Source organism: Homo sapiens, chromosome 11, assembly GCF_000001405.40.
Source record: "Homo sapiens chromosome 11, GRCh38.p14 Primary Assembly".
In the NCBI taxonomy this organism is placed as follows: Eukaryota; Metazoa; Chordata; class Mammalia; order Primates; family Hominidae; genus Homo; species Homo sapiens.
In genome coordinates this window covers 132,414,774-132,437,200 of record NC_000011.10, presented here as the reverse complement: position 1 = coordinate 132,437,200, position 22,427 = coordinate 132,414,774, and the positions used below count along the sequence as shown (strand labels likewise).

Genomic DNA, 22,427 nt, shown 5'->3' with positions numbered 1-22,427 from the left:
GGGTTCTGGGGAAAAGACGGCACAGGGAGTAGGTGGACAATCTGGTAATGGCAGTGCCATTTTCCAAAGGACCCAGGTTCCTGCCAACAGGAAAATACTTCATCAGATGGCTTTGCCCACCATGGCCTCCGTGCCATTTGTCCCTGGAATCTTCCTGTGACTGCCAGAGTTTTCAGCAAATGGAGAGAATTGTTAACTGAGAATGGGTTTGGAGGCCTGAAAAAGAGGTTGGGGTCAATGCAGTATCTTCAAGCAGCTTATTTTTCCTGAAATAAATGATTATTTTACTGGGAAAGAGGGTTGTCACAAGAAATCCATTTACATAGCAAATGGCTGGATGTGCCCTTCATCTCTTTCACGAAATCACTCTGTGTGTGCGTGCGTGCATGCCTGTGCATGTGTGTGTGTGTGTTTCCCACAGATCCTCCCTATATCTCAAAAGCCAAGAACACTGGTGTTTCAGTCGGTCAGAAGGGCATCCTGAGCTGTGAAGCCTCTGCAGTCCCCATGGCTGAATTCCAGTGGTTCAAGGAAGAAACCAGGTACCTTTTAAATGACACCTGGACAGTTCTGAAGCAGAGCTGATGGTCTATCCCCACATGGGAGAAGGATGAGGATGAAGAAAAGGGGAAAGATAAGGCAAAACAGAAATATACTATGCCCTCTTTTGTAACAAAGTCTATTTTTACAACGAGAAAAAAAATGGAGGAGGCTGGGAAGTGGAGAAAATGAACTGACCATGATTCTGAATCTGAGACTGGTTGTAGACATGTCAGTCGTTGGGAATTAGAAGCCAGTACATTTATCCCATTGGGCAAGAGCATCATTTCCCTTCTCCTCCTGTTGGACACTGAAGTGCTTAGGGTTTGAGTTTGAAGGACGAGATTAGTTGGAGAAAAGAGTTTGGTGAGGAGGAGGGCCTCTTTGTAGAATGAATTGATAGCAATGTCTTCCCTCTTGCAGGTTAGCCACTGGTCTGGATGGAATGAGGATTGAAAACAAAGGCCGCATGTCCACTCTGACTTTCTTCAATGTTTCAGAAAAGGATTATGGGAACTATACTTGTGTGGCCACGAACAAGCTTGGGAACACCAATGCCAGCATCACATTGTATGGTGAGTGCTGGAAGCCTGGATGCAGTGGGCTCAGCCACATGGGGAAGCTTGAGGGACTCAGGAGGGAGGAAGTTGCAATCTGCTTGGCCTGTGTCCATCCATCCTACTCAACCCACCACCTGTAGATAAGACATACTTCTCCCTGCCATTCCCCTAGCATGCCATGCAGAGATAGTTACACAGTAATTGATATTTCATGGTCATTAAAAGGCAAAGTTTGCCCTTACAATAGCAGTAAACCAAACTGTGAATCAGGTAGAATGGTTTTTGTATAAAGAAGATAGAACCATGGGTCAATTCAACTGTGTAATTTTAAGATGCCTTCTGTAGTTGGAGTCTCTGATTCTGGGGGTGATATTTGTTGCTTTAAACCAAGTCACCTGCTTCCATCATGATTCTCATGTTGCTTGCATTTCGTATTCTCATCCATGGGGAAGAATGGAGTAGTAGTCTGAGACCTTATCAGGTGGCTGCTCTATCCACAACTGGAGCAGCAAACCCTCTCTGAAGATCTTTCCCTCCCATATGGGTGGAGAAGGCTTGGGAGCCAGGACTGACCTCCTTTAAAGCCCCTATGTCTCCCTAACTCCATTTTCCCACACTGCCGCATCCATATCCTTCTGCAACATTTCACACCATGGGCCAGGGCCAGCTTGTTGTGATACTGTATGTGCATATGTATTTGTTTATTTGCTGAGGTTTGATTAGAGGGAAGCATCCGATGAGTAGGATGAGAGGATGAAGGATGAAGAGAGGTATCCACGTTTCCACGTGCACCTCAGACACAAGCTTTCAGCACTGACATTAAGTAAACTTTGTCCACCAACCATCTGAAATGTGTGATCTATGTCTTTTGTTTTCTCTCTGCATTGTGTGTGCATTGTGCTGTGTGTGTCTTAGAAATAAGCCCCTCATCAGCAGTGGCAGGTGGGTACAGCATGTTCCTTCCTACCTCTGCCTGCCTGAATGCCTATGCCTTTGAGTTTTAGCCTACTTCAAAGATAGGCTTGCCTGCTTCACCTCTGTAATTTATGTCTCTGAGGTAGATAGACCTCAAGGGGCTTGGTTTACACAGTTTAGATAATAAGCATGTAGAATATGATGGCTTTCAAATGCACTCTGTGGAATAGCTTTATGTGTTTCAGGGGAAGGGGTTTTTGCCCCCAAAACAAGAACCTTATATTTGGTCATCTTTGAAAAGAATGCTCATTCTGCTATTTCTGTACACAGCAGCACCAAGAGCAACCCAGCCCAGAGACCAACTGGATTAATAGATAACTGTCTCAGTGGGGACGTCACCCTACTATGAATGTTTTATTCTTTTAGCCCAAGGCAAACAGGGCTAATGGTTTAGTTCTAAAAACTTTATTTTAAAATAAAAGTACTTGGGATCATTATTATAATCATAATATCTGCTATTTACCAAACGTGTACTGGTTTCTAGGCATCATGTCAGGGCTGTGCAAGGCAGGTTATTAACCCCATTTTACAGGTAAGTGAAAGGAGGACTAAAGAGCTTGGGTAACACTGAAGACCACTTAGCTAATGAATAGATACTGGATGAGACCTAGAGATGGAGCCCTGTATTAGGTATTGGAGCATTTGCCCACAGCGTCAGCAAAGAGAAACAGGCACACACATGCATGCACTCACACACACTCTTACACAGTCGCTGAGGCATTTAGAAGAAGCAGTAGCTGCTGCTCAGCTCTGCTTCCAGAACTGGAAGACCCTCAACCCTACTGTTCTAAGATGTCAATCTCATTCACATGCAAAGAGATGACATTTGAATTTTCTAGACCTGAAATCAGCTCCTCAACTATCACTGCTCACAGCTCTTGATCCAAGACACTCACAGATGTATAGTGCTGCCCGCATCCCAGTGACCAGGAACACCCATGCCTTAGTCTTAAAAACACTGAGAGGATAGGGTGGGATTGAGTCACTTCCCTGCCACAACCTGCCATTATCCCCATGGTTGGTGGGATTGCTGTTGCAGGGAGTATGATGCAGAGAAGGGCACAGGACTGACAACCCAATGGCCCTTCTTGTCTCTCTCTGCCCTTCACTAAGAAAGAGGTGTGTCATGGCAGATAACAACAACCAGTGTATACCAAAACTGTCTTAGTTGGCTTGTGTTGCTGTAACAAAATACTACCGATGGGATAGCTTAAACAACAGACATTTATTATCTCAAAGTCCTGGAGGCTAGAAGTCCAAGATGCAGGTTTCTGCCAAGGTGGTTCCTGTGAGGGCTCACCTCATGGCTTGCAGACAGCTGCTATGTCCTCACATGGTTTCTCCTCTGAATTCTCATAGAAAAAGAGAGAGAGGGAGCTTTCTGGTGTCTCTTCTGATAAGGACAGTAACTATATTGGATCAGGGTCCCACCCTTATGACCTCACTTAACCTTAATTACTTCCCTATAGGTGCCACCTCCAAATACAGACATACTGGGGGTTAGAGCATCAACATAGACATTCGGTAGTAGAGGGATGCGATTCAGCCCATAGCACAGGCAGACATTTACATCCCAATTCAGCCTTCACATCCCAATTCACTTAAACTTGCTGAGTCTTCCTTCCCGCATATATGCTATTGGGACATTAACGCCTGCTTCAAGAGACTGGTGACAGGATTAAATCAGGTTGTGTCCATTCAGAATCCCATAAATGCTACATTTAGATGTGTGGATTCGACCACAAACAAAAACCACAGGCCTGAGTCCACTCGGCTAAGTAGGGTGATATTTTCTGACCTGTGGACATGAGAGTGTCACTGTGAATTGTCAATAAGACAATGTTCATCAAAGCGGCATGACTCACTGAATACTGTCGTGTTTCTACTGGTACCCGCCAACACTTATTGTGACATGGCCCATGCTATCGCCTCTTCCCCCCATATGCCTGCCAGAGTCACTGCTCAACTGGACTTCTTTTCCTTCCTCCAAAGTCCCCTGTGCCCTTCCTCTCCAGCATTCACGGTCCCTATAACCCACCCTATCTCACTTCACCCTGTTGGCACACACTTGCATTCAGCATCCCTTCCTGAAGGAAGACTTTCCTGACCTCTCTGAGCAGGCCAGTCCCCAATTCTGCATCCACTCATTCCGCGCCTTTGACTGCTGCACTCACACAGAGCATTGTCTAGCATTCATTTAGCAAACATGCATTTAGGACCCGTTACAAGCCAGGCACTGTTCTATGTGATCAGGAGACAGCAGTGACTCAACAGATAGATTCCTTGTTTCTATAGACTTTATCTTCTAGTTGTAATTTTGTTTTTGTTTAATATTTCAAAAGTTGTTTGTTTAAAGTATTTCTTCCTCTTTATCCTGTAAGCTCCAGGAACATAGGGGCTATACCTGGCTTAATCCCTAGGACCTAATACAAGGTTCTACACACAGTAGCTCACAGGAAAACTTTGTGGAATGAATGAATGTGTGAATATATGTGGGGATGGAAAGGACGTATTGGTCACAGCCACAATTTAGCTGTCAGGAATTGAAATGCCATGGCATAGAGGAAGGGGTATGTGTCTCACCCTATGCTGCTCGCTGGCTGAATGGCTTTGGGAAGGTCAATCTCAGTGGGTCTTTTATATTTTTAATCAGTGAAGGCATTTTGGATAAGATGTTTGGTTTCTGTGGTCCCTACAAGGCACAATTCTCTGATCCTATGACTGTGTGGCAATAGTTTCAGCACAAGATCAGACAGATAGTGTCTGGTTGACCTGCTCTTTCTCCTGGCCAGGGATGCTCTTCCTAGTCCTCAATGCCCCCATAATTATGCCTAATTATTACCAACCATTTACTGTGTACAGGGTACTAGACTAAGTGCTTTTCCTTTTTTATCACCCTTAGTGACTCTATGAAGTAAGTACTATATTTATCCTGATTTTACACTTGAGGAAATTGAGAGGTTAGGCAGATAACTCAAAACACCCTGGCTTATCAGTGCTTGTGCTGGGATTTGAGGCTATATACTCCCATTCCCATGCTGGAGCACTTTGCTCCTATTGCAATCCAGCTCATAAGACCTGGCAACCCATCATGGACATGGTGACTTTCCAAATGGAGCCTCATATCAGCAATTAGTCTTCTTGGACCCATCTCCCACATCAAATTCTCCTTTCTTCTATCTACTTCTGAAGCCATTCTTGTAAAGGACAATTTTTAGATTTGCAACCCGTATGCTCCTACTTCCCCAACACACAGTCCCCATCTGCAGGCATGCATTTGTATTTACTCTCACAGACGGTCAGTCTGTTTTCTGAGAGCCCTCTTTGACTCTGCCCCGTGATCCCTTCACAGCGTGCCTCTCTCACACTACATCTTTTATATATTTCATACCTACAAGCAAAGAGCAAAGGAAAATGGGATATAAGCAATTTTGAAAGAATGCAGAGGGCAAAAACTGGAGACAATGGGTTGGTGAGTGGTTGGAAACCTGAAATGACTAGAAACGTGTGAGTGACAACATGGTAGGTGATCGTCCAAGATGAAACAGCTGTTGGCACTGATATGAAATGCTTCTTCTTTATCACACCGGTTGCCTTCCCCACACAGAGCCACAAGGACAGAGTGGTCAGCTAGGCAGAGCGCCAACTCACAGCCATATTTTAGACCACCCACTTTCCTTAGCCCCAGGCAACTGCAGGTGCTGGAAAAGTGGCCCGATGTGGAAAGGCGGTCAACGCCAGCAGCAAGGAACACGGGGTTCCAGTCCTGACTCTGATACAGACAAACTGTGATGCTGTCTGTTCCTAAGTCATGCGTAAAACAGAAAAGCAGAGCAAGATGAACTCCAAGGTTACTTTCAGCTTTCTAAGTGTCTGGGCTGAATTTGGGAAACAATGGGAACAAAAGGCAAGGAACAGGTCTCCAAAAGCTATCAACCATAACCATGGACAATCTTTGCACAGTAGCTTGCTCCAACCATTGCAAATCAGCTTGCTCTAAGCATTCGTTAGCTTTACTGAGTGGGTGCAGCCATTGGAAGGTCCACAGGGAGCCCCTTGGCACCTCGAAGTCTTGCCAGGCCTAAGTACAGCAGGGGTGGCTGGGTTTCAGCTTGCTGACCACAGCTCTGTCCCTTGTGGAGGTGACTCACTTTCTCTCAGTTCGCCAACCCCCTTTGTCCCCTCTGGGCCTTGAGCAAGAAGCCCCATCCCCCCATCCTGTCCTTAGTGTGCAGAGAAGGAAGATTCTGGACTTGATTACATCTGGCACTGCAGAGAGTGCGACGTGCTTAATGAGGCATGTAAACGCCTGGATGACTGGAACTGGCAGGGGAAGGGGAGAGAGAACGCAAACAAAGCCAAGACGGAGGGGGGAGACTGCAGAGAGAAAAACAAATTTCTCACATTTTATCTGTGAAATTGCAGCGACACAAATCAGTTACATTAAGAGTTAAGTGTAGGGCGCAGGGACAACTCATAGGAATCCTGTCATCGCAAGTGAAAAAGGAAAACGCTCCAGTTAAGTCAACATCTGTGCACAGAGTTTCTTCCTCAGGCCAAGCCTGAGCCCTCTTGGAGCAGCTGTGACTCCAGCCTGCCTCGCGGCTCCTGGGAGCCATGAGGGCGTAATCTCTATTTTCTTTTGCTAATGGCCATTCTTCTAGAATAAATATACATATCAGACTGGCTCTCTGAGCCGGACTTCCTTCTGCCAGAGCCTGCACCAGGCAGCGGCTCTCATCTGCCCTTTGCTGACCTCCTTCTCATGGGAAACCATCCCACCCATGGGCAGAGCCCTCATCGCCGCTGCCTTATCCCCCACCTCCCTCCTCTTCCCCCTCCATCTTCTCGTTCCATGTCTGTATTAGGGCGTCTTCACAACTACACCTATCCCCAGGTGGCTCTAGCTGGGACATGGAGAGGGGGCACAAAGACTGAGCTTCTCTTCAGTGCGACCTCCATGCCTCACCCGTGCCTTTTCTTCCCTCCAGCCACAGGCCTCTGGGAGGGAGAATTCGCATTGTATCTGCCTTTCTCAAACCTACTTATGCCTCAGCTACCACGATCTGTCTCCCTCTAACACCCGACCTCGTCTCAGTGCCAGAGCCCCTCTCACCCCACAATGCCCCACTTCTGGCTTATGTGATATAACCGGGTGGTGACTGTCTCCTTACCTTCCTCAGTCTGCTTCTAGCTCCTCCGGCACCTGCCCTATCAGTCTTCCCGGGGGTCAGCCTATGGTGAGAGGGGAAGGGCTCTTCTGTACCTTCAGGCACCCAGTGGTGAGGTATTTGTTGGCCTGCATTAGCCTTATTCCGGATGCTTTAAAAATGCAGATATGTGAGCCTTGCCCCAGAATCATTTAATCGAAATCTCTAGGGAAGGTCCTGAGAATGTACTTTTTAAGAAGCTCTCCCAGGGAATCCTATGCACACTGAAGATTGATGGCCTCTGAACAACAGCCTGATAATTCCTGAATTTGTGTCTTTAGTTCTCTCCTGAATTCTGAGCTACAAGCCACTCTCTCTCCCTGAATATTCCGCAGGGGTCTCAAAGGCAGCCCTTCTCCGCTGGGAACGCTCGGGGCATGCCTCGCTCTTCCCCTGCACACTCTCTAGAATCTCTGGTCATTTTTGACTTCCTCCTCTCCCTCACTCCTCACATCTGTTAGCCATCAAGTCCCACCAAATGGCCTTTCCTCTGACTTCTCCATCTCCATTATCACTCACATTGTGGCACACGTCTCACATGGACAATTGTGATATCCTCTCACTGGTTCCCTCATCTTTCTTCGGCAATCCAACTCCTGTCGGTTTGCCACAGCAGGGCCAAGTGACATTTCCAAAACTCAGAATGAACCTTGTCATTTCGATTGCTGAAAACTTCTGCCTCCCAGAACAGCTTGGCATTAAGGCTGTTCTCGCTGTGAGATCAGCGTAGCCTTATAGCTTCAAGTGTCCCCAGCACTCCACCTGCAACCTTCCCTGCATCCACCAGGCTGGGCCCCCTGTGTCCCAGATCCCGTTACACATCATGCTGTTGCCACTCTCCATCCATCCATCCATCCATCCATCCATCCATCCATCCATCCCTCCATCCATTCATCTAGTCAACAAATATTTGTTTAGTGCCTACTGTATGCCAGGAATTATACTAAGGACTAAAGTACCAGGAGAAACAGAATTTCTGATCTTGCACAAACAAGTAAATAGACAGTTACAATAAAATATAGGAAGTGCCATGCTTGAGGAATGAAGAAGCTGCCAGCTATCGAGTGTCAGCCACACATGGCTTTAGACACATAAGAACACTTTGAGATTGATATTGTTATCATTTTTCATTGGACAGAAGAAGAGCCTAGAGCTCAAAGAACAAATGATGTTACTGAATTCCCCCAGGTAGGAGGGATTCCACCATGGATGGAAGGGGCAAGGGACAGCAGCAGGTTTTGTACCTAGGTCTGTCTGATCTTAATCCCCTGTTTCTTTCAAACCCATATACTGTGTCTCCCAGTGTGCTGGAGGGTCTCAGAGGCAGGCTTGTGCCCTCTTCTCTGCCTGATGAGTGCATACTTTCTGGACTCTGCTCAATGATGCCCCATATGTAAAGCATTTGTGAGCTCCGCTGAAGAATCAATCCCTCATCTTTTGGGCTCTCATGGTAGATTACCCCTATGCTTATATTTTGTTTGTGTCATTTTCTGCACTTAGAAGATGTAACACTATATCTTCCAGTGAGCGTTGCCCAGTAACTGTTTGTTGAATTAATAAATATATCTTCCAGCCAATGAGGGCATCAGTTATAGCCTCTATACAGTTTCATACCTTTCACTAACCAAAGAAAAGCCAAATACCCAAGAGGACTTGTAGTCCCCTCCCCTCAGGGAAGCCAAATGACTATTTTTCTGACTTTCCCTTGCGTTCTGGCCTCCTGTATGTTCCAAATCTAATTTAAAATTTAGGGACCCCCATCCCAGATCTCCCTTTTGAAGGAGGCTATACCACATATTCCAATTCTCTGTTTAGGAAGACGTTCATCACATGATATCTTCTTGCAGAGACATCAAAAGCTGCACATATTTGTCCATTTCCTGCTGATAACGTGTATGATTTTTATTTTTCAACTCCACAATTTAAATCCAGGTGGGAAGGGAATGAGTCAGAGAGAAACACCATTGCTTTTGGCTGATGACAGCAGCGTAATCATTTGTATTTTCCCCCAACCTGCAAAATGTCAACATAGTAGAAAAAAACTGCAGACATTTCCCATTTCATTCTTGATGAGGTTCCTTGTGGTTTGCTCGTACCCCGCCCTCCTCGCTCTGAATCATTGACATCTGGCTATTAGCCTGAGCATTTAGAATTTAACATTGAGCGTTCAGGGTGTGCTGATGTCAGCACAGACACAGAGCTTATGGTTCAACAAAGACTCAAGTCTTGTCTCTTCCAGGTTTGTGATGAGCTGACGGATTTGAATTAACTTCTGATATTAACTTCTTAAGCTTTTGTTTTTGTAGTAAGCACAAAACAGGGTGTGTTAAGGAGAACAGAAGAAAGATGGTTGCCTCTTTATCGACTGGTTTCAGTTGTGCTGCAGAGCCTCGTTGGTTGATCTTACTTGTGAAACAACACAGCGCCACGTTTGCCGCTGTAATTAAACTCAATGGAGGAAAAGTTCCCTTTGAAGGGAAGTGATGTGCCTTCATCAGCCAGCACCTCTAAAAATAGCTTTATGTTTCACCAACAAGTGTAACACATACATCATCTAATTAGATTTCTTTGCTCCTCTTTTAATCACCAAGAACATCATTATCCTCTTGGTTCCTCATTAGGAAGGTCACACAGTTCATAATCATACTTACAAAACCTATCCAGATTTCAGAACAAAACCGTATCTTCTTAGACTTCAGATATTTCATTAATCTCACTGTGCTGTCAACAAGCTCAACTTGCCTAGGGGCTTTTTTTTTCTTTTCTTTTTTAGTGTGGTCACCCTACCATCTGCCATTTTAGTAGAATTTCAGCTATATAGTTTATGGTTGCTGGAGATCGATGTCATATTTTCATTGTAATCATGGAAAGGAAAACCAGTGACACATTCCAATACCTTCATGGCTTGTTATATACACTACATTTTTAAGCCTCAAAATCTCTCATGAGGCAGGATCTCAGCAGGAAGCTTCTATATTTTTTTCTGAGAGCTCTGTGCTGAGTTTGGGTACTGTGATTGTCAACACCTGCCACTCAAGAGGGTGGTGAGCCACCCCTGAATGCAGCAGCAAAAGCTTAGTGCCAGGATGGCCAGGCTTGAAATTCCCCGTTCTTATGTGGTAGGTGTGGCTTTATTCTGTTTTAAGCCTTCAACCAAATTTTCTTCTAAAAAATCTAATGTTTAGGCCAGGCGTGGTGGCTCATGCCTGTAATTCCAGCATTTTGGGAGGCCGAGGCGAGTGGGTCACTTGAGGCTAGCAGTTCAAGACCAGCCTTGGCAACATGGTGAAACCCCATCTCTACAAAAATACAAAAATTAGCCAGACATGGTGGTGCATGCCCATAATCCCTGCTACTTGGGAGGCTGAGGCAGGAGAATCACTTGAACCTGAAAGGCAGATTCAGCCGAGATCGTGCCACTGCGCTCCAGCCTGGGTGACAGAGTGAGACTCGGTCTCTAAAAAAAAAGTAATGGCAAAAACCATGATGACTTTTGCACAAACCTAGCAATTTACCAAGACACGTAGCCTCTCAAAAGTAGAATTTTTATTTGTTCATTTTTGTTGTTGTTGTTGCTATGTGTCTTACCCCTGCTGAGCTTCCCTTGTAGCTGCATGGACCTGCTCTGGCCATAATGTCCACACAAATGGATCCCTTTGTCATTTCTGAAACTTGTCTCTTAACCATATCTGGTCTCTAACTATTCTTTCTATATTCTAAAGGAAATCTTATTTGTCTGTATACCTGTCCCCAAAGTATTTTGTTGTTGTCACTGTGTTGTCACTCAGTTTATTTTGTGGCTTTGCATCTTCATTTCAGCTTATATTTTTAAAGATGCTTAACTTCAGGCATGAAGAAGCCATTAATTTTTAACATTAAAAAGGGTGAAGGAGGAGGTGCTGGAATAATGGTAAAGGGCATAATTACATGTTCTCACTTTCCATTTATCCCTGAAAATATTTAATTAAGCCTGATATTTGTAGCAGCCATTCTAGTTCAATTGAATTATTGCTAACCATAAATAGAGAAAGAGTCCTTAAATGTGGCATTTGCCCACAGAAAGTACTGGGCTACTGAATACGCTTCCTCAGAATAGCTGCCATTCATTAGGAAGATTTTACCTGTGGTTAGCAGCCACTTCAGGCCTTTCCAGAAGGGAGAAGGTCACCCAATTACCAGCCAGAGCCAAGCTTGCTTTCAGCTGGTGTTGGAGAGTAACCTTTGAGAACCTAGTATTCTAGAACACCTCTTTCTTTAAAAGCAGAACCCCCACACAAGATGCTGTTTTATGGATTAGCAATTCTTGCCTTAGTTCCAACTCACCTAATATTTCATCATCCTTTACTCTGTACTTGATGATTGCACACACCATCTTAACTCATTCTCAGAGCAATCCTGCAAGGGTAGATAGAACTACTCCTTCCACATTTTATACATAAAATAAACTGTTTCAGAGTAGTCGGCGGTCTTGTCCAAAGTCTTCCTGCTATTGGATAGCAGAGCCAGAATTCAAATTCAGTTCTGACTCTTAAAATCAATGCTCTTAAGACTATCCAACAGGCAGGATGTTCCTGAGATGAAAGGGATTTAGGGTTATTTGTTCCAAATGGCTTTCTTCCCAGAATCTCTGATGGTTTAAAAAAAATATTTGTCTGTTTATTTGTTTATTTATTTAATCAAGGACAGAGGATAAGCTAGCTCCTCCTGAAGTTTGTGCTTTTTGAAGGTATGGACTGTTTCTGTCTTTCTTTGTGAAAGCAGAGCCTAGTGCATGGCAGGGATCAATTCACATATGTTGAATGAACGACTTCAACATTTCCCAAGGTTGGCTTGGGGCCCGTCTCCATTGCAGGATGGACACATTACCCTTTGACCTAGCCAGGAAGCTTGGCTGTGGCTGGCTCCCAGTGCCCTGCTCAATGCCCCACATCCTCCAGAGCCCTCACAGCCAGTGGTCTCTCTCAGCTGCAATCTTAAGCTATCTCACCTCTTTACTCACTCCCTTACCAATACCTCACCCCAGGTTCAACATATTTTGGAACTATCTAAACAAGCTAGTATTAGTCTCCACTAAGAAAGGGACAGGGAGGTGTGCAGGTCCTGTTCCAACAGCAGTTGCCATGATCACATGACTACTTTGTACCAGGCACTCTACTGATTACGTTCATCCTTCAATCAGTCCTGCAAACTCAGCATCATCATGCCTGTTTTCAGTGAGAAAACAGGAAGTATCTTGCCTAAGATCACAGAGCTGGCAACCCACAGGGTCAGAATTTAAATCCAAATGGGTCCAACTCCAACATTGCCAGATTGCGGTCAGCGACCTTACCCCGGGGGAGCGTAGAGAGCATTTCCTGAGGTCCCTAGGGATGTTTTCTCAGTTATGCTTCCAGGAAGTCTGCTCCTTCGCCTTTCTTCCAAACCCGTGGGCTTTTATCCGGGTGCATTTTAGCATCAGTTTTCTGGAATAGAATATGTCATTAAAAATCTGCCTCTCAGCCGGGCATGGTGGCTTACACCTGTAATCCCCACACTTTGGGAGGCTGAGGTGGGCAGATCACGAGGTCAGGAGTTCGAGAACATCCTGGCTAACGTGGTGAAACCCCGTCTCTACTAAAAATACAAAAAATTAGCTGGGCATGGTGGCAGGCGTCTGTAGTCCCAGCTACTTGGGAGGATGAGGCAGGAGAACGGCGTGAACCCAGGAGGTGGAGCTTGCAGTGAGCCGAGATCACGCCACTGCACTCCAGCCTGGGCGACAGAGCGAGACTCCATCTAAAAAAAAAAAAAACTGCCTCTAGTATTCTAGGTTTTAGAGAAGAATCACCTTTCTTCCAATTTTTACCAATAAATGAATAAATACAAACATCTGGGTTTCTGACCCTATATATTGAAATTCAAAATTGTATCATCTTGGGTACCAAGTACCTGGAGAAGTCCATGCAGCTGTTACCAGCCGAGGCCATGCTCTAAGAAAACTGTACTCAATCTGACTCTGAAGCCATGTATGCAAGCTTCAGTGCTACCACTGCTGAGCTCAGCCTGAATAGTTCCTTCAAAACCATGTCCTCCCCTGTCACACAGGTGGCTCTGTAGCTTTGTTGAGCTAACATTTACAAAAGCCTCATGGTAACCCATGGGACCAAACGTGAGCCCCGAGGCCATGGGACCACACCAAATTACTTAAATTGCAGCAACCCATCACTTTTATATTAAAGCAGAAAAGCATTTGGCCAAGTTAGGTGAGCAACTGTAGCATACAGCAGCCTAGTGGGAGAGAACTAACCCAGAAACTTTCTTTTCCTCATTTCCAGTTACACAGGGCTACTGCAAAGATGCAATTAAAGAATGAGTTCATTGCCCATGGCTTTTGTCTCACACTCTTCAAGTCTAGAGAGTGTACATAGATGTACCAGCTCCAAACACAGCTGGAGAGCCCTCCGGCAGAGCCCTCACCGCATTGGCATTTGGCCCAGCTGACAAGTCTCAAATGTGCCCAGGATCTGTATGAGGAAAGTGATGCTAGCTTCACTGTGTATCGTAGTGGATTAAATTCATTCTCTGGCCACAATAGCCCAGCCATTTCTCATACACCAATTGACCAAAGGCACTTTGGCAGTAAATTGCTATGGCATTTGATACGACAAAGCAGGTGCTCATCATAGCTGCTGAAGAATAAAACTCCCTGAAGCCACATAGAAAATGGGGCTGCAAAAGGGAAACTTTAGGGACTAGAGTGTTCGGTGCCCTCTTGCTGTCTCAGGGGAGATGGAATTCTGAAGTGCAAAAGGCACGTGTTGACGGTTTTCTTTCAACTGAAGAAGGCTGTCTGGCTACTCACCAACTATCTCTCCTAACACCTGGATGCAGAATTTCCATTCATGTAATAACTCAGAGAGCTAATAGAAGAAGGACCTCACAGGTCATCAAACCCCATCTCTTCTCAATTTGCAATGCGAGAAGCAAAGCCCGGAGAGGGAACGTCACTCAGCTAGGGTGCAGCACATTCATACAGAGACACTGCATTCCCAGTCCATTGTTTCTCTCACACCATGATACTGTGGTCCCTGGAAAACCTGCACAAATGGTCATTTTCTACAGAGAGGAAGTAGACTTGTAACAATTAAGGGCATAGATTCTGAGGACAGTGACTTGGTTCTAATCCAGCTCAAGGTGCATAAGTTGCGTGGCCATAGCTAAGATGTCTAACTGCTCTGTTCCCAGTTTTCCTGTTTACAAAGTGGGAATGACAGTAGCACATAGCTCATAGGGTTGATGTGATGATTAAATGACTGATTATATGTTTAGCATTTAGAATCGTGCTTGCCACGTGGAGAGCACGGTGTGAACGTGTGTTGTCATCATTGCCCTAAGCAGGCTGAGCAGCCTACATACCTGCTAAGTCTCCCTTTCATTTCCACTCTTGAGAATGCTCAACAGAAGCTGAATATGACTGTAAACCTCCACCCAGTAAGCACCAAGCATCCGATGGCAACTGCTGCTCACCACCAGAAACACTCATTTCCTTTTACTATTCTGCCTCCTTCTCTCTCTGAGCCCCACTCTTCCATGGTCTGTTTTCTGTGTATATTGCCCCACTCCTCTTTGCTTTAGCTATATTCAACCTTGGGCCGATGGCATGGTATCCACAGGAATGTTTCAGTTCACTGGTAGAACTTGGGATAGAATGACTCCTATACTCAAGAGTTCTGTCTAGAGTGGAGCATATCAGGGCTTCAATTGTTTCTTAAGCTCAAAATAATAATTAGACAAAGACATATATATATACGTATATACATATACACATACAAAACTAGTCTAGTATATATGCCATATATGTCATGAAAATACTTTTTAAGAAAAATATATACAAAAAGATAATTTTAAAGAAACATATGGGCCTTATGAATCTGCCCATATGTTTCTTTAAAAGTAGCTTTATGTACATATTTTTATTTAAAAATGTAAATAAACTTATTTAAAAACCTAAATCACTCATCTTTCAAAGACAATATGTAGAGAATTACCTTGAGCTTCAACCTGAGCATTTCTAGCTCAGTGCATTCTGCAGGCCAGTATGATTTCTCAGGATGTGTGCCAGGACTGCTGGAGGCCCCACAGTCAGGCTACTTTCCATCAATATCTATGGAGCCTCCTCTGGGACATTAACATGTCGCTACAACCTGGATTCCGCCCTTTTTTGTGAATATTCTCTGACAAAAATGCAGGCTAATATGAGTCAGACTTCAAGCTATCAAGTAAATATGACTTTTAGTCCATAAAAGCATGTATATTTTAAGTAGAAAGAAAAGGTATTCATGTTAAGATTAGTGGAGAGGAACAGTTGTATACTCATTGCTGAAGTGAGAGACGTGACTTTCCCAAAGTAAAATGTTCCCATCAGTCCCTCCTGGGCAAGGCATGAATCCTCACCATAAGGTTGACAGGCAAGCCAAATGAACTAGTCCTGTCTAAAGAGGTTCTGCTGCACCTCAGCTTATTTCCAGTAGGCCAATTTGCTTCTCAAAGAAGCTGTGAAGTCCTGGCTTGAGATGGTAGAAGAGGTGTACTGTCTCCTTTGAATCTCCTTTGCTTCTTCACTAGTTTTATAGAAATGCCTCGTAATGGCTTTTAATCCCTTGGTAATAATAGATTTTGCTTTTTCTGGGATACACTTGCTGCTGGCTCCTAGTCTTGCGTACCACCCTATGTGCTTGCTGATAAAGGTGATGGAGGAACACCTGGTCCAAGTTAGATACACCTGCCCTTGAAGCAGGCTAGGATAATACCAATTCATGTGATTTGTCTTCTTGAGCCATGGAAGGTGAGGGGAAAAGAACAGCACTCATGATACTGTGGACTTATTTCCCGGTGGACCTTGAATGATTTATTGGGGATACAGGAAGGGGCCAGAGAGAGAGAGAGAGAGAAGCTAGAAAAAAATCAAGGGAGAGCCCCTTGGGTGGAATCTTCAGGGGCAGTCTGTTTTGGGCATGTTGATCTGCTTCAAGGCCTTTAGGGAGGCAGCACTGACTGCTGGGACAAGCCTAATTCCAGCCTTTAAAACCCATGGGGATGATTGTTCCTCCTTCCTTAGCTGCTGCAGGAGGAGCCTCCACAACACCTAGGTTGCATGCATTGAGGTTGACAAGTCTGCTACATCAACACTTGGACTTATGTCTCCATCCGTCTCCCCTTCCTACCCCACCATCTGCTCCTTGCCTCTCTGGCCTTGTGCCCCCCGACTCATCATTGTCTGTACTGGACACTCTCCAAGTATAGCACACAGTTAGAGGCACTGATTAGAAAACAGCCAGCAGGTCTGCCTTTCCATGTGTTGCCTTAACCTTTGGGCCCACGGGCCTCAATGACTAGCCTGAGCTTCACCTATTTACTTTTTAAGCATAGTCTTTCAGAGCAGGCTGCATTGGTCAAGGCATCCCAACAGCTTGCCCCTTTGAGTTCCTAAATACTCCCAATGGGCTTTTTCCTTTGTTTAGACTTGGAATGGTCAGCGGAAGGGTGGAAGGTGGGAAGCATGTATGTGTATTTGCTTGTCAGGGAAGAACTATGGTGTCCTTGGGTGTATGCTAATGGGTCTGTCTCTCTCTCCCCTACACAGGGCCTGGAGCAGTCATTGATGGTGTAAACTCGGCCTCCAGAGCACTGGCTTGTCTCTGGCTATCAGGGACCCTCTTAGCCCACTTCTTCATCAAGTTTTGATAAGAAATCCTAGGTCCTCTGAGCAACGCCTGCTTCTCCATATCACAGACTTTAATCTACACTGCGGAGAGCAAACCAGCTTGGGCTTCTTTTTGTTTTTTTCTGTTATTCTAGATTTGTTTTCTTTTTGTTTTTGTTTATTTGTTTGTTTGCTTTTATTTCCAGCTTGAATGAGTGGGGTTGGGGGCGGGGTGGGCAGGGTTCTACCACGTGTAGGATAATCATTCATTGGTGTGTCCAAAAATGGGGTCTGCTCCTGCTACCTTGACCCTTCCCTTTCCTCTGCTTCTCTCCTCATCATCATTCCCAACAACATCCTCTGCCACACACAACAAAACGTAAGTTTCATTTGGGCAAAAATTGAGCCTCACAATAAACACCCTGAAGACACAACTTGACTTATAACATAGTGCACAGCAAGAGCTACATCCAAGTGTCCTATTATCTGTGATTATTTTCTTAATGACAATGTACATATGCCCCCATCCATGTTAATTATTATCTAATTCCATTAGGGTTCACGTCTTTTCTTTCTGGGACACTATCCTACTATATCCATATCTATAGATTTCAATATAGATGATTGTGCCATCTTCTGTAGCCCCTCCGCTCTACTCATTCCTTCCACCATCTGCAGAGATTTGAAGTTTGGGGCTATGCATGAAACCCAACACTAAATTTTGCAAGTCAAGTAACCAAAAAAGGGGGAGGCATTTTGAAGATAGAACCTCTATTTTAAAAAGAGAAGTTCAACTCATAAACGTGATTGATAGGTGGCTGATTTATTTAGGTTTTGTCAAGCTATCTATCAAAGTAATGGTACAGTTACCCATCTACTCAAATATCTGATTTATCTCACCATCCAATTATCTACCCACCTGTCTTCCTCTCTAGCAATCTATTTACTGTTTATCAATCTATCAATGTAATTGTCTAACACTCCTTTCTATTCTCTCCCTACTACTCACTATCAATTCATCCCCATATGAATCTCTAACCATATTGTATCTCTCCCACTGTATTCATTTATACACCATCAGCAGACATTGGCATCTTCAAAATTATCTTTCAACTTCTGTGAAAGCCAACGATCTCACAGGTTAACAAAATACAAAAGCAATACCCTGTGTTGTGGACTCTTTAAAATCTGGTATCCTATCCACCCAAGGGAGACACTAACAGATAGGCCAAAGTAGCAAGCTAATGATCAGTCACTCACTATTCCCAGAAGAGCCTGTGTTTTCTAAAACACTTTCTTGGGAAGCAGATCAGCCTAGAAAAGTTTTGATTAGCACTGTGGTTTTCCTTTTGCACTTGAAGGACAAAGGTGCCAGCCTTTATGCTTCTCTCAACCCTTCAAGAAAGTACATGTCAGGAACCTATGGCTGGCTTTCCTTAGCAGCAAGAACTTGAGAGAAAAACACATCTGTCTCTGCAATGCAAAGTGAAGAGTCCACCCGCCTGAGTGGGATGACTTCAGCTAGAGTCTCCTTTCTGCTCCAGTTCTGGTTTAATCTGTTTGAAAACTATCCAGTAAAAAGCTGATGGAGGCCAATTACATGGCGGGTGTATTGACAACTCTGGTATTTGTTTCAGGAAGCTCTTCTAAGCTGAGGGCACTTGAGCAACTGACTTAATTTTCAAGCACTTGATTAACACAACACTGCAAACAGAAGGGAGAAAGTGTCAGTGACACAGTTTCCTCTGATGCAGCTGCTTCTCCAATGGCTTTGGGGAAGAACTTCACCAGCTCTTCAGGTTCAAAGCAGACCCAGCATACAAACAAGAGCTGAGCCACCTTTGCTGTCTTGTCTCCTGGGACGAGAAGGACTCATCCAGCAAAGTTGCCTGGGATTCAAAATAAAGGCATTGCAGACCGCACAGGTGTGCTGCAGGGACTGATCCACAGAGAGGATGAGAATGCAGCATCAATCGCAGACCTGCCCTGCCTCAGTTGGAAAACCTTTTCAGGCCCTCAGTCTAAAAAATAAAAAATATGAGCACCATTGAATTCTGTGCCCTTAATGCTTAACTGGTCTTCTTCCTCTGGTATCAGTGTCCTCTTTGTTTTTGTCCATCAAGGCACATGAGTGTGACCTCTGCCATGGGGAAACACACACAGAGATATCTATACATATATACATACATACAAACATAGGCTATCTTGGCACACTAAATGCTAAGCACTGTCTTAAGAGGTAGAGCTGGTGTGAGTGAAATTAATGTTACATTTTCCAGCTGTAAACAGACATCTGCATTTCCTAGTGAGCTGCCAGGAGCCAGATTCGGGAACCGTAACTGATGTGCCAGGAATGGTGCATTGATTCCCAGTTCCAGGGATGATCATGAGCAGGCGCAAAATCAGAATTAAAGGTCGCACATAGACGTTTCAGATCTGTCACCACCTTCAGCATCTGGAGTTGAGTTGGTGTCAGATAGTGTATGAGAATTAAATGTGTCATCTGAGCATGCTACTGATGATAAATTTGTTACTTTGGAGTTGAATAAATGTGAAGGCTGTGAAGAGTGGACAGTCTTGGAGAACACAGTGCTTGAAATGGACAAGCTGGACCTATTCCTCACTCCAAGACTTGTTCTACAGGAAAGGGTCCATGCTCCTTTGGCCAAGATCATCAGAACCTCTCAACCCAACAAGGCTGGCTTCAGGGCCACTATGGAACCCTGCTGTTCCCCCTTCCAAAGGATACTAAGATGCCCCTCTGGTGGGTACCTATCCCAGCCACGTTTCAGAGGGAGAGAAATGCTACAGTTGATCCTCATCTGTCTGGGGTAAAGACAACAAAGTAAATACAACCCAAGGCAACTGGGGTACTCACTGGGAGTGAAAATGACTTCTTCACAACAGACATATTTCTGCTTCTGTGTTTTTGTGTTTCTTTGGTGGGGATGGCTTCATGGGAGAGTGGCTGTCACCCATCATTTTGAAGCATATAGAACAACAAATGCTTACACAAGACAATATCCACACTTTTCCAACTTCACACACGGAGAGTACATGGAGAATGCCTACAGGCTAGATTTGTTCAGGGTGCCAGTAGTGGGCATGGGGTGGGGGCAAGGCAGGACAAAACATACAAGTCTGAGCAAGTACATCTCTTGCAGGTTTTCCACATGAAAAGGAAGCCAAATAAGTCCTGTTAGGAGATTAGGTGAGAGGAATTAGCAATGTAGGGACTCTGAAACCCTTCCCCTTCCCAAAACAGAGTTCATATGCACTTCCACCAAAGTAATGCCAATGAAAGTGCTCGTGTTAAGGCTGCAGCCAAGCTTGTTTTTCAGTAGTTTAATGTCAAGTGCCTGATACAGTCGACTGCAAGTCTAAACAAGCATGTTTAGTTTTTCTCATTCTTGCTTTAATTCAGGGAGGGGGAGATGTAGAGAAGTGGTTGTGAAAACATGTACAGGCTTTATGCAGAGCACTGCGCATGGCTGTTCTGCTGCAACTGTGCTCCACGAAACAGAAGAAAAGGTAAGGTGTTGTGTCACAAAGAGGCCCCAGTCTCTTTCTTCTTACATCCATGCCTCTTACTAGATGATACATTTACAGATTGGGCAGTTTGTTCTCAAAACCTGGGTGAGAAGACTATTCCTGGACTCTAGCAACTTCAAAACTGAGGCTGGGTTTCAGAATCTTTTTCTGCATCAATTCAGTCAATTTGCCTTCAACAAAGAGAAGTCAGCAAGTTCTATTTATGCTGAAAGAACTATTCCATGAGAAAAGCAGAGAACCCCAAAGTGGGCAGGCAACCCCGACGAGAGCTTATCCCTGTGGCGGCATCAGGAGTGGCTGTACATTGAATTTTCAAGTGCTGGTTGGCTGTCGCCAGCCCATGGTAGGAGGGGAGGAATGGCTTAAGATGAGGTAAGATCTGGTGGTGGGGCATCTTTCCTCAATTCCATACTGACTTTGATCTTGAGAAAGAAAAACTGGCTATGCATTACCTAAAACCAGTCCAAAATGAAACAGACCAACACACACACAAAAGCAAATTGTCAATCCCTTTGGAATTAAGGGAAGCAGCATAAGGTTTTTCTTTTTGGAAAAAATGCATTTATTTTCTTTTTCTCCAACAGCAAGAATCTTTTGTTTTCATTTTGCACGTGACCTTATCTTGGAAACTCTTATACCCAATTGCCTCCCCTCCTATTATTCAGAGCTTCCCTGTCTTTTTACTTGAAGACAAATAAGTTTGAGCACTTGAGTAAAACTTCACAGGTGTGTAAGTAGGAAGGCAACATTTTCAAAAAGAGACCATATGATGAGAACGCCTAATGATCACCACATGCAAACAAACAAAACTGCCAGTCTCATTTCCCACATTTCTTACTTAAGAGAAGAGAAGTAAATGAAAGGAAGAAGAAATAGATTTGTAATTAAAGATGTGGCAAAAAAGATAGGGCTGAGCCAGTTCAATTTAGCCTTCAGGTGCAGAATACTTAGAGTCCAAAGAAATGTGGAGTGGACTTAATTAGATGCAGTTGTCTTTATCCTGAAAGTAGTGAGCTAAGCCTAATTTCCAGCATTTTGAAAGAGATTCCTTTTTGTTTCTTTCCATGGTGCCCTCTTTAAGGCACAGAGTTGCTCCACACCACTGGGTGGAGAAAGAAAGATTGCGAACCCTCGACCATCCTTTTGAGGCTACATTCTATGTTATTTGGCAGATTTATAAAGCTATCAGTAATAACAATGCTATGTACTGCAAGCTGCCCTTGTGTTAGTTAAAGGGAGCATTTTTAATCGTTCGGAAATTTTCGTGACATGTCAAGTGCAGTTGTGAGGACTGTGTGGGTGAACGAAAATGTGTCTGTCAAGTTCAGAGTCCTTTAGATTTAAAAAAAAATTATGACTTATCAATGGTGCCGTTATAGCTGTGTCAGACAATGGGTGTGCCCATTCTCACAATTATCCTTCAAAAAAAATCTATGTTCAAATGCTTTAAAAATTTATCACACGATACAAGAGTATGACTTTGTCAGCCTTCTAGAGTTCTTTTTTTCTTTTATTTTCTTTCGTATTTTTTCCTTCAAAAAATCAATGAAGACTTGATTTCTGTCAATAATTGTATCAAGGGTGAATATACTACCTGAATTTTGTGCATGTTACATTGTAGTTGTAACCTTTTCTAATTCAGGATGAATACGAGATGGTTGTGATTGTGCAGTGTACCAATAAAGTTCGAGAAATTTGTAACTTTTGGGGGGCTGTTTATTAGGACATCTCATTGATATCCAGGACGGGAAAAATATGAAGCGAGCTCTGCTTCTCCCATATGTGCGTTTTTGGCCCTGGAGAGTAGATGCACTCAGAAAGCCTGGAGCTGCACCCCCCACCTCTCTCTCTCCCTCCTTCTCTCTCTCGCACACACTGTAGAAAGCAGCCTTAGCACTGTCCGTATGA

The 22,427-nt window shown here is 44.2% G+C and overlaps 1 protein-coding gene across 8 annotated transcripts in view; it reads left to right on the top strand.

Annotated features, from left to right (window-relative positions):
- OPCML (opioid binding protein/cell adhesion molecule like) overlaps positions 1-22,220 on the top strand; it is a 1,117,521-nt gene extending 1,095,301 nt beyond the window's left edge. For 7 of the 8 annotated variants that reach the window (NM_001319104.4, XM_006718846.4, NM_001012393.5 and 4 more), the window contains 3 exons: positions 422-542; positions 964-1,115; positions 16,908-22,220. In NM_001319104.4, coding sequence (NP_001306033.1) covers positions 422-542; positions 964-1,115; positions 16,908-17,008 — 374 coding nt within the window. In that variant the 3' untranslated portion in view covers positions 17,009-22,220. Of the gene's footprint in view, positions 1-421; positions 543-963; positions 1,116-2,015; positions 2,043-16,907 lie in introns of all 8 variants that reach the window. The other variant, NM_001319103.2, reaches the window with a different exon arrangement.